General features: G+C 43.1%; 1 pseudogene, besides 1 other annotated feature; it reads right to left on the bottom strand.

Annotated features, from left to right (window-relative positions):
• Positions 1,516 to 2,016: an enhancer, noted in NCBI's record as "H3K4me1 hESC enhancer chr3:128266479-128266979 (GRCh37/hg19 assembly coordinates)". NCBI's record gives its function as "activates a minimal SCP1, AML or CMV promoter by ChIP-STARR-seq in naive H9 embryonic stem cells {active_cell/tissue: H9 hESC(naive)}" and the evidence as "EXISTENCE:reporter gene assay evidence [ECO:0000049][PMID:30033119]".
• On the bottom strand, positions 10,821 to 11,633 carry TMED10P2 (transmembrane p24 trafficking protein 10 pseudogene 2; annotated as a pseudogene).

Below are 12,447 nucleotides of genomic sequence, written 5' to 3'. Positions count from 1 at the left end.
TGGCCTTCTGCCCCCACCCCCATGCCCTGGCATGTGCCAGGAAGTGCCAAGGATTCCCCATCTGTGAGAGGGGAGGCCAGTGCCCTGCCCCGAGAGGTCCACTGGCCTCCCCAGGCCCCTCCGCGCTGCCTTTCCAGAAACTCCCCAGCCTCTTCCTGCCTGGCTTCCTGCCCAAGCCCTTCCTGGAAACCAGGCCCACCCTGCCCCCAGCCCAGGGCGCCAGTATTTCCATGGGGTGATTCACACGGCCCTCCCCAGGCAGGGCCCCTCCTTCTACTCACGATACTGAAAGTTTGGAAAACAACCTGGGGGCGGGAAGGAGAGTCCAGCCACGGCCCCACCCCCACCAGACGGACCCTGCAGTCACCACAGAGTGTGAAAGACAAGAAAATAGAAACAATAGGCCATGAAAAGCAAGAAAACAGGAGACTTTCTATTTAAACGTTCATCTAAAAGAAGAAATTAATGCAGCTTTATTAAGACATAAAATGCAAATGGTGTTGCAATGTATGTCATTTATAAAGAAATGATTATGGAGGTGTGTCCCTGTTTTTTTCCTGATAGGGTGCATGGTCCACAAAGACCATCAGCCTGAGGCTGTTCTGCTCAGCCCCACTCCTGGAGCCTGTGTCCCCTGTGGGGAGTCCTGGGCCATCTTGGAGGGAGGATGGACCAGAGGGCCAGACTGTGGGTGTCAAGGAAGGAGGGAGGGGTGGCCTCGGCTACTGAGGAACTGCCACGTTGTGTGTGGGGTGGGAGGGTGTTCAGATAAGGAGGTGATTGGACAGGCCTGGCAGGGAGACAGCAGGATGACTGATGTGATGGGTTGGGTTTGGAGGATTTTATTTCTTACTCGATGAGAAATGGGCACAGTTTATGCCTCGCAAAACGTGATCCTGTTGGGTACAATAAATTGTAAAAGTGAAGTCAGGGTTCCACTTGAGTGCATGTGACAGAAACCCAACTCACCTTCAGGATAAAAGAGAAATTGTTGGTCTATGTACTTCAAAGCTCCACCAGCTTCAGGAATGGCTGGCTCTAGGGCTTCTGGGTTGGCTTATTTCTCTGGAGACTTTCTCCTTGTGTTAACAGGATAGTTCCCAAAGGCTTCAGGCTCATAATTAATCAGCTCAATAATTCCAGTGGAAAGAAAACTTCCCCTTTCCATTTGGGCCAGAAAAAAATCACCAGACTGGCTGACTACTGGCTCAAACTGGGTCATATGCCCATCCTTGAAATAATCACAATGACTGTGATTGGCCCTGCATAGGCCACAGGTTGAACTCTGGTGCCTCTGTGAGAGGTGATGCCAATCCTCATAAAATATCCTAAGGAATTTCCCTTAGGAAAAGCCTGTTCTTCAGGGAAGGGGAAATAGAATCAGGGCAGCTGTCATCCCCCACACTAATACAGCAGACTCCAGGGACATCCAGTTAGAAATACAGGGTCATCTTTCAAGTGATCACACACTTGTTTTTCCTTGGATTGGAGGGAAGAATGCATCCCTCTTAGCCAGTGACATGTTTGTGGGCAGCAGGACAGGGTCTGGGTAAGACCTCCTCAGAGACCCAGGTACAGGCTTGGGGGCAGCTCTCCATGGTGTGGAGTGAAGTGAAGGGCAGAGAACACCTTGGGTGCCTAGGGAGCAGGTCCTCCCTTGACAACCAGTGAGATTGGAAGATGACAGGCAGAGCAGCTGTGCAACCCAGCGGGAAGGTTTCCCTGTCATTTAGATCTGTATTCAAACCCCAGCTCAGTCACTATTATAGGTGATGTTGGTAAGTGACGTCACCTCTCTGAGCATTGCTTTTTATCCCCGTTGGAATGGAACTGCCCCTCCCTGCCCCTGGTGGTTTTGAGGATTAAACAAGATGGTCTCTCTCGCTGCAGAGCACTGTCCCTGGCACATGGTGGGGCTGGTGACAATTGTGATTATTGTAGGCTCTGGGTCTGCACAGTGTGTGCCGGGAGGGGTCTGGCCGGCATGGGGGCCGCCTTGCTCCTGTTGAGACTGATTTGGACCTTAGTCATGGCTGGCCTGAGTCAGCACGTGGGAGGTCCCTGCTGACATGGCTTAAATTAGCTGGAGTTTGAGGCCTCTAGATAGGAGCAGGCAACAGGGAACTCCTGCCTGTCTCCTTCCCTGTTGCTGCAGGGCTCACCTCCCTCCTCATGAAGCTCCTCAGCGTGGGCGGACATGTTGGACTGGTGCTCAGCATCCATGTCACCACCTTTTGGGGTCCTTCCTGTACTGCAGAGGCTGGAAGGATACAAAGTACCTTTTCTGGACTCCCTCACAGCTAGGGCTCTGGAAGTTATTGAGATTTGAGCAGTCAAATACTCATCTACCACCTAACCATGATCCCTGGGGTGAGGAGTTCAGACGATGTTTTCTGGACCAAAGCTTTGGGTAACACATTGGTGAGGGAAGCATGGGCATCTTGAAAGGCTGTGCCTTGACTATTCTTTGCAGGCCAGCGATGATAGTGGGAGATGTCCCCATTGAAATGAGCTCCCTGAATAAATTGTAACAATGGCCATGAATACTTCTCCTCTCATCCACCGCACTCTGCAGCTCTTCCCAGGTGGAGTCTATTGCTCCACACCTTGTCTCTGGGTTTGGACGTGTGACCTGCTTTGGAAAAATGGAACAGTAGGAAAGGTGATGCAGGGCAAGGCTTTCAAAGACCTTGTGCATTGGGGCTTGCTTGCTCTTCCCTTTCCTTCTGCCCCTGGAGCCCAGCCCCAGTGAAGTCTGGCTGGACTGCTGGACGATGAGAGGCATGTGTGTCCAGTGCCACTGCACTCTGGCCAACAGCCAGCCAATTGCCAGATATGCGAGTGAGGTTATCCTGGCTTGTTCAGCCACCAGCTGTCTATAGGCACATGAAAGAGCTCAGCAGGAATCAGTCCAGGTTACCCAGAACACAAGAACCGTTCAGCTGCTCCACAGAACTGCGAGCAAAACAAAAGGTTAGTGTTTAAGCCACTAAGTTTTGGGGAAGTTAACTGATTCGAGGAAGCAGGAGAGTACGGGAGGTAGCCCCATACTGCCAGAGATAAGGTGGGTTGGAGCAATAATCAGGATGGCTTGGCCCAGAGAGATCTTCGGTGGTGTCTAATTGATCATGATGTCCTTGAACTCAGTACATGTCAGCCTACGAAAGTCTGACCTGATCTGCATGCCTCACAATTTGCTATGCCATGTTTTCCTTTGCATTTGTTCCAATGTTTTCTAATTTCATTTGCAGTTTTTTTTCTTCGACTCATGGGTTATTTTTATTTATTTATTTATTTACTTATTTAATTTTTTTTTTTTTTGAGATGGAGTCTCGCTCTGTCGCCCAGGCTGGAGTGCAGTGGCGCAATCTCGGCTCACTGCAAGCTCCGCCTCCCAGGTTCACACCATTCTCCTGCCTCAGCCTCCTGAGTAGCTGGGACTACAGGCGCCCGCCACCACGTCCGGCTAATTTTTTGTATTTTTAGTAGAGACGGGGTTTCACCGCGTTAACCAGGATGGTCTCGATCTCCTGACCTCATGATCTGCCCTCCTTGGCCTCCCAAAGTGCTGGGATTACAGGTGTGAGCCATGGTGCCTGGCTAACTCATGGATTATTTAGAAGTGTGTTATTTAGTTGGGGATTGACTTCCAATTTAATTCTATTGTTGTCAGAAGAGACATTTAGTATGATTTTCACCCTTTAAAATATATTGACACTTCCATTATGGTGCAGAATACAGTCTGTTTTGGCTAACGCTTTCTGTGTACTTGAAAGATATGTATTCAGATGTTGGATGGAGTGTTCTATAAACAGTAATTAGGTTAAGTTGTTTGATGATGTTGTTCATGTCTTCTATATCAGAGATTGGCAGGCTGGGTGTGGTGGCTCATGCCTGTAATCCCAGCATTTTGGGAGGCCAAGGCAGGTGAATCACCTGAGGTCAGGAGTTCGAGACCACCCTGACCAACATGGTAAAACCCTGTTTCTACTAAAAATACAAAAATCAGCTGGAAATGGTGGCGCATACTTGTAATCCCAGCTATTCAGGAGGCTGAGGCAGGAGAATCGCTTGAACCTGGCAGGCAGAGGTTGCAGTGGGCCGAGATTGCGCCACGGCACTCACACCTGGGTGACAGTGCGAGACTCTGTCTCAAAAAAAAAAAAAAAAAAGATTGGCAAACTTTTTTTAAAGAGCCACATTATAAGATTATAAATATTTTTGTCAGTGGAGGCCATACCATCTCTGTTGCAACTCAACTACTGAACTCTGCCATTATAGCATGAAGGCAGTCACCAACAGTATATAAAAAAGTGTTTGTGGTTGTTTTCCAATAAAACTTTATTTACAAAAACAAGGCTAATCTGTTTTCAGACCTCTGTTCTATAAGTTTATTGATTTTCTGTCTGCTTGTTCTGTCAGTTATTGAGAAGATGTGTCGAAATCTCCAGCCATAACTGTGGATTTGTCTATTTTTCCTTTTAGTTTTTGCTTCATATATTTTGAAGTCATGTTATTAGGTGCATTAATATTTAGGATTTTTATGTTTTCTTGACTAAGTAACTCTTTATCATTATGGAATGTCCCTCTTTATTCCTGGCAATAGTTCTTGTCCTGAAATCTATTTTATATGATATTAGTATAGCATCCCAGCTTTTCAAAAAGAGTAACTTCATGGTATGTGTGTATTATATATATGGAATATATATATTATATATATGAAATATATACAATATGGAATATATATTATATATATGAAACATATACAATATAGAATATATATAATATGGAATATATAATATATGGAACATGCATATTATATATGGCATATATGAATATGCATATTATGTATGGTAAATATGAACATGCATATTATATGTGGTATATATGAATATGCATATTATATATGAATATGCATATTATATGTGGTATATATGAATATGCATATTATATATGGTAAATATGAATATGCATGTTATATATGGTATATATGAACATGCATATTATATATGAATATGCATATTATATATGGTAAATATGAATATGCATATTATATATGGTAAATATGAATATACATATTATATATGGTAAATATGAATATGCATATTATATATGGTATATATGAATATGCATATTATATATGGTAAATATGAATATACATATTATATATGGTAAATATGAATATGCATATTATATATGGTAAATATGAACATGCATATTATATATGAATATGCATATTACATATGACTATGCATATTATATGTGGTAAATATGACTATGCATATTATATGTGGTAAATATGAATATGCATATTATATATGGCAAATATGAATATGCATATTATATATGAATATGCATATTATATATGGAATATATATGAAATAATATATAGTGAAATATATTATATATTTATGTATTATAAAATATATAATATATAATAATATATACAAATGAAATATATATATATTTACACTCCACTTAAAAATTTTTAACCTATCTGTAGCTTTTATATTTAAAATGGATTTCTTGTAGACAGCATATAGTTAGGTCTTATTTTAAAAAAATTTGGTTGTGCACAGTGGCTCACGTCTGTAATCCCAGCACTCTGGGGGGCCGAGGCAGGTGGATCACCTGAGGTCAGGAGTTTGAGACCAGCCTGGCCAACATGGTGAAACCCCATCTGTACTAAAAATACAAAAAAATTAGCCAGGCATGACGGTGGAGGCCTGTAATTTCAGCTACTCAGGAGGTTGAGGCAGGAGAATCTCTTGAACCCGGGAGGCAGAGGTTGCAGAGAGCCGAGATCGCACCATTGCACTCCAGCCTGGGCAACAAGAGCAAAACTCCATCTCAAAAAAAAAATTTTTTTTTGATCTGATAATCTGTGCCTTTTAGTTAGAATGTTAGAACATTTACATTTACTGTGATGATTGATATGGCTGAATTTAATTCTAGCATATTGCTAGTTTCTTTCTATGCCATCTGTTCTTTGTTTTTCCTTTTTTTCCTGCTTTATTTTTCTTCTGCAATGTCTAATATGCTGTTAATCCCATCCATTGTAGTTTTTATTTGTAGAAGCTTAATTTTTGACTTTTTTATATGTTCAATTTCTCTTTTCATCATGTTCATGTTTTCTTCTCCCTTCTTGAACATGTTGAGTATTTTTATAATAGTTGTCTTAATGCCATAATCTAATAATTCTATCATTTGTGTCATTTGTTGATCTGTTTCTATTGATTAATTTTTCTCCTTATATTTTCCTGTTTCTTTGCATGTCTGATGATTTTTGATTGAATAGCAGATTTATAAGTGTTTTGATCCTGGGTGCTGGATTTTTGTCTGTTTGTGCTTTGTTCTGGGATAGAGTTTGATTCTTTTGTGACTTGCTTTTAAGCATTGACCCAGAATAGCCTTTAATCTAGGACTAATTTGGCCCCATTGTTGAGTTCCATTCTGGCCAGTGGGAACATGAACACTTCCTGGCCCTGTGTCAACCCTAGGGATTGTTCTGTCTGCTACTTTTCCGTGGTTCTTTACCTAGCCTCACAAGTTTCTTCACATACATGCAATGATCAGTATTCCACTGACTAACCAAGGAGAGCCCTGTGCAGAATTTCAGTACCACCTACCCCCTCTCTTCAGCTCTCTTTCTGGTACTCTGCCTTGTTAATTCTGTCTACCTTGTCTTCTGAACACTGTCTCTGTAAATCAGGGAGACCACAAGAATCTGTTTAAGCCTCCCTCCCAGCACTGGAGCCTGAAACTCCCTTCAGAGATGAGACAGCACAGCGATGGGGCTCACCTCATTTGTTTTCATTCCCTCAGAGATCATCATCCTGCACTGTTGGTAAAATCTGAAAACCATTGTTTTGCATATTTTGTTTTGTTTAGTTGTTTAAGATGGGAGGGTAAGTCTACTCCCTGTTATACCATCATGACCAGAAGCAGAAGTCATATAATTTGATCTGCCTAAACACCAACAAAAAAGGTTCTTTAGGTCAGGTGACTAGAGCCCTGAATTGAATTGCCATAATAGGGAGTCACAGTCCCTTATCCAGTTCCCAGACCAAAGCCAGTTCACAGACCAGGTATCCCTTGAATAAAGAGGAGGCTGGAATCCCTGAGGAATTACCTTGTGACATTGCCCCCAAGCCAGGCCCAAGAGACTCAGGCATGGTATTCCTTTTAGAAGTGCTGAGAAAAGTTACTCTTTCTCTGCTGGGATTGCTCAGCTAGGAAGAGGTAAGGATGGAGATGCTGTGGCCATTGTGGGGTGGGTCAAGACATATGGAGGAAACAAGAACAAAGAAATGGACACAGCCTGGTTCCTGAAGCCACCTTTTGAGCCCCCACACCAGCCTTGTGGGTCATGGTTGTTCAGTCTCATGAGCCAATGTATTACCTGTTTTGCTTAAGTCGCTTTGAGGTGGGTTTCTGTGTTGGGTTGAGACCTGAGGAATTTGTGTCAGGGCATGAAAGGAGCTTCTTGAGAGAGGAAGCACTCCCAGGGTCTGGATCACATGAAATAGCCCAGGAAAAATCCAGGCAATGTGAGTCTGCAGATTCCAATTGGGAATGCCAACTAGGGATACCAAGGAGCTCACCTAGCCCCAAGAAGATGAGGGGGGCAAACCAGACATCCCAATTCCAGAGCTCAACCCTTGCCAGGATACTACCTGCAGCCCCTCTGGGACTTCCATGTCCTCTTTCTTGTCTCTATAAGCATATGTGACATCTGACTTGTGACAGGTCTGGGGCTAGTGCTCCAGTGGGGAGGTATATTCAGCTTTTCTTGCATTGTTATAAAGAAATACCTGAGACTGGGTAATTTATAAAGAAAAGAGGTTTAATTGGTTCATGGTTCTGCAGGCTGTACAAGCATGGTGCTGGCATCTGCTTGGCTTCTGGGGAGGCCTCAAGAAGCTTACAGTCATGGTGGACGGTGAAGCAGGATCAGGTACCTCATATAGCAAAAGCAGGAGCAAAAGAGAGAGAGAGTGGGAGGGGGTAGGTGGCACACACCTAAACAATTAGATCTTGTGAGAACTTACTACAGTGAGGACAGCACCAAGCCATGAGGGGTCCACCCCCATGACCAAAACTCCTCCCACCAGGCCCCATCTGCAACACTGGGATTACAATTCAACATGAAGATTTGGTGGGGATAAATATCTAAACTATATCAGGAGGAGAAAGGGATACACAGGGGGTTCTGCATTCCTTGAGGGTAAGGTCCGAGCAGGAGGCTGGGAGCTGATTTTCTACACAGGTTACCCTGCCTCTTCTATACCCTATCATACGGTGGGTGGTGTCCTTAGATATGCACATCTCCCCTCCCAGCCCCCAGACTTCTCAGATATCACTGAGCTCCAATTGCACTGAAACCAGTATCCCCCTCACCATGTACCTCCCTCACCCAGCCCATTATCCATCCAGGAGCCATTCAGGGGTGCATCCTTAGTTCTAGGCCCTGGACCAAGCTCTGGGGCTACAGTATTGCCAGATATGTCCCTTCTTTCTACAAGTGGAGGTGAAAGTCAGCCAGTCCTGGAAAGCCCCAGCATGGCTCCACATGGATGCATTGCCAAGAAGAAGCAGAAGTGTGTGTGAGTTCTTACCCACTAGAATGGCTATAGTAAATTAGACAGACCAAAATTACTGTCGAGGGTGTAGAGAGATGGGAATGCTCATACACTGCTGGTGGGAATGTAAGGTGGTGTAGCTGCTTTGGAAAATAATTTGGTGGCTGGCCGGGTGTGTAATGGTGGCATGCCTCATGCCTGTAATCCCAGCGCTTTGGGATGCTGAGGTGGGAGGATCACTTGAGGCCAGGAGTTCAAGACCAGCCTGGGCAACATAGCGAGACCTCATCTTAAAAAGAAAACAAAAATAATTTGGTGGTTTCTCAAACAGTTAAACATAACACTACCATACAACCCAGCAATTCCACTCCTAGGTGGAATAAAATGAAAATAAGAGAAATGAAAGCATATGTCCACACAGAAACTTGTACATTAATGTTCTTAGCAGCATTATTCATAATAGTCAAAGAGTAGAAACAACCCAAATGCTCATCAACTGATGAATGGATAAACAGTATGTGGCATAATGAAACATTATGCAGCTATGAAAAGGAATGAAGCCCATTTACATGCTCCAACATGATGAACCTTGAAAACATTAAGCTAATTGAAAGAAGCCAGTCACAAAAGGCCACATATTGTATTTGTTACCACAAGTTGTTGAATTCTATACTTGAAATGGATGAGTTTTATGACATGTAAAATACACCTCAGTAGTTTTTTCTTTTTAAAAAAAGTGTGTTAGGAGACTGAGGAGGAGTAACGTGGGTGGACGGTGGAGATGGAAGACTCAGTTCTGAGGTTTGTCTTCCTTAATAATTCAGAAATCTGCCCAATTCTTTCCATTCCTACTGCCACCACTCTGGACCAAGCTGCTATCATCTGTCTGTCTGTTTCCCTGACCACTGCCACAGTGTCCTCACTGACCTCCCCATACCTGCTCCTTTGCCCTCTCCATTTACTGGCCACACCACAGTCAGCTGCGGGTCTTTTTTGCAATGTGGCTTTGATTGGATCACTGCTGCTTAGAAAAAAGCATAGGCACAAATCTCTGAGCTAGGCAAGCATTCGTAGATATGACACCAAAAGCACAAGCAACCAAAGGGGAGGAAAGCCAGATAAATTGTACTTCATCAATATTTAAAACTTCGTGTTTCAAAAACACTATCAATAAAATGAAAAGACAAGCCGCGGAATGGGAGAAAATATTTGCAAGTCATATCTCTGATGAAGGTCTAGTGTCTAGAATATATAAAGAACTCCTTAAACTCAACAATAAAAAGACAAATAATCCAATTTTTTAAATGGACAAAAGACTTGAATGGGCATTTCTCCAAAGAAGATAGACAAGTGGCAACAAACACATGAAATAATGCTCAGCATCAGTAAAATGATGTGCATCAGAAAATGCACATCAAAGCTACAGTGAGACACCACTTTACATCCGCTAGGGTGGCTGTAATAAAGATGGACGATAGCAATGGTGAGGATGTTGAAGCATTGGAACCCTCTTGCGTTGCTTCTGGGGAATGTAAGATGGTGCAGCCATTTTGGAAACAAGCAGGCAGTTTCTTGAAAAGTTAAACATGAAGCTACCATATGACCCATCTTCTGCTCCTAGGTATATATCCAAGAGAACTGAAAACAAATGTTCAAACAAAAACTTACATTATGTTCAAAGCAGCATTATTCCTAATAGCTAAAGGATATAAACAATCCAAATGTCCACCAACTGATGAATGGATGGGCAAAGTATGGAATGTTGATGCCATGTAATTTTATTTAGCCATAAAAACAGTGAAAAAGTGATATGTAAATTATATCTTTTTGGAGCATAAATATTTTAATTGTCTAAAATGATATTTTCTTTAAGAGTTATCTTCAGTTCAAAGCTCACTTTTTGAAGTGTCACATCCGTCAACCTTTTAAGAGACATAAAATTATGAGAAGATATCACCAGAAGCTATGTAAACATTTCAGCTAAAGGCAAAAGGAAAGTTAAGGGTGTTTTCACAAGGAAACCCAAAGAAGACAACCAGAAGGAAACAAGTTCAACATGGCCATACCAATCTGGGTAAAAGAACTAGAGTGGAAATTCAAGCTGCCGAGAAAGCGGGAGAAGGAAAGAAAACTTGGTTCAAACAGATCGCACAAGGAAACCCAGCACAAATCCTGGCTTTGGCATTATTTGGTAACCCTTATTTTTGGTCATAGGTGACTCTAATACTGGTCCTATTGTTGCAAAACAAGTCCAAATACTACCAGCTAAAAAGAAATCTCTCATTGACTTGTTGGGTAGGTGGTACCCATGTCCTCCCCCACCAAGAGATCAGTTCTGGCAAGAGGGCTCCAGTGCATTTTGATGGTGCTTTTGGTAGGATGCCCAGTGATGTTCTGCTGCCTGAGATACAAGGTGGGAGGAGAGTGCACTTCGTTCATTACTCAATCGACATCTTGGCCTTGAAGAAGCAACACAGGTAGAAAACCTGCCAGGTGGCTAGTCCAATGAAGCAGAACATTAAAGAGACACTGAAGTACAGGGCTCAAGTGTTTGTTGATTCATTAGTACTACACATCTCTCTCTTCTTCACGTAGCAAAATCATTAACAATAGATTCTGACAGGTCTTCTAGGCATTGCAGCTCCATCTATAACGGTTTAAGCTTCTCGACTTTTGTAATCTCCTTGTAATTTCTTTTCTGCCTCTACTCCATGCTTCATGTCTAGGATTACGAATTGATCAGGTATCCACCCTGTTTCCTTGCTCTCAAATCACACTTCAAACATGTCATAATCTTCCAGGATAAAGGCAAATTTCCCTTTGGTTGCATCCTCTTTGGAGTAGAGAATGTGGCCAGCAGAATCTGTGACCTTGAGGTGGCTGTGCAGGCTGCCAGCACCCCCAGACTTGTTGGAGATCTCGTACGCACCCATCACTAGCAGGTCCTTGTGGATCTCCTCATGGAGGAACTTTCAGGAGTTAATGGGCAGGTGGAAGGAGATGGTGAGGACCAGGCTGGGGCTGAGCAGAAACAAAAACAGCCATGCCAACATTGTTACTGAAAAAAAAAAAGGAGTCAAGAGTGAAGCACTGATGTATGCTATGCCATAGATAAACAATAAAATATGTTACGTGAAAGAAGTCAGACACAGAAGGCTGCATGTATAATTGCATTTACATGAAATGTCCAGCAAAGGCAAACCCATAGAGACAGAATGTAGATGAGAGCTTTCCAGAGGTTGGGGGATAGGGTGAGTGAGGAGTGACTGCTAAGGAGCACAGAGATTCTTTATGGGGTGATAAAAATATTCTGAAATTAGAACAGTGGTATTAGATAGGAGTGATGGTTGCAAAATCTGGATATATTCAAGATGATTGAATCACAGAAGTTTTTAAGGTGAATTTATGGTAAGTGAATTATACCTCAACAAAAAATATTAACAAGTAATAAGACACTCCAAATTTTAGTTATGTACATGGCCACCCAGCTAGTGACCACGTTTCCCAGCCTCTTTGTAATCAGCGTGGTCATGTGATTAAGCTTGGGCTAATAAGATTCCAGGAGAAGTGATGAGCCCCAATAAGCTGTTTCCTCTGGAGTCCTCATTCTCCTTCCCCTGGGCTGGAGGGCAAACATGGAGGTGATCATTGCGCCACCAGGGGCTAGACAGATACTCTTGTGGAGAAGAGCTGCCCTGCCAGCCCTGGGCTGCTCCTCAGCAGACTGCTTCTTGAGGAGGGAATAAGCCAAAGCCATGAAGAGACTCATTTTTTCCCTCTGCTTCCTGCTTTGACGTGTCCCTCCCTGAGGCAATGAGTACAGAAATGACCTGATGACCTGAATAGGGGAGGAGGTAAAAGAGGG

The sequence above is a fragment of the Homo sapiens genome, chromosome 3, assembly GCF_000001405.40.
Source record: "Homo sapiens chromosome 3, GRCh38.p14 Primary Assembly".
NCBI classification, from domain to species: domain Eukaryota; kingdom Metazoa; phylum Chordata; class Mammalia; order Primates; family Hominidae; genus Homo; species Homo sapiens.
Note: the sequence above shows the minus strand (reverse complement) of the source record. Positions and strands in the feature narration are given on the sequence as shown.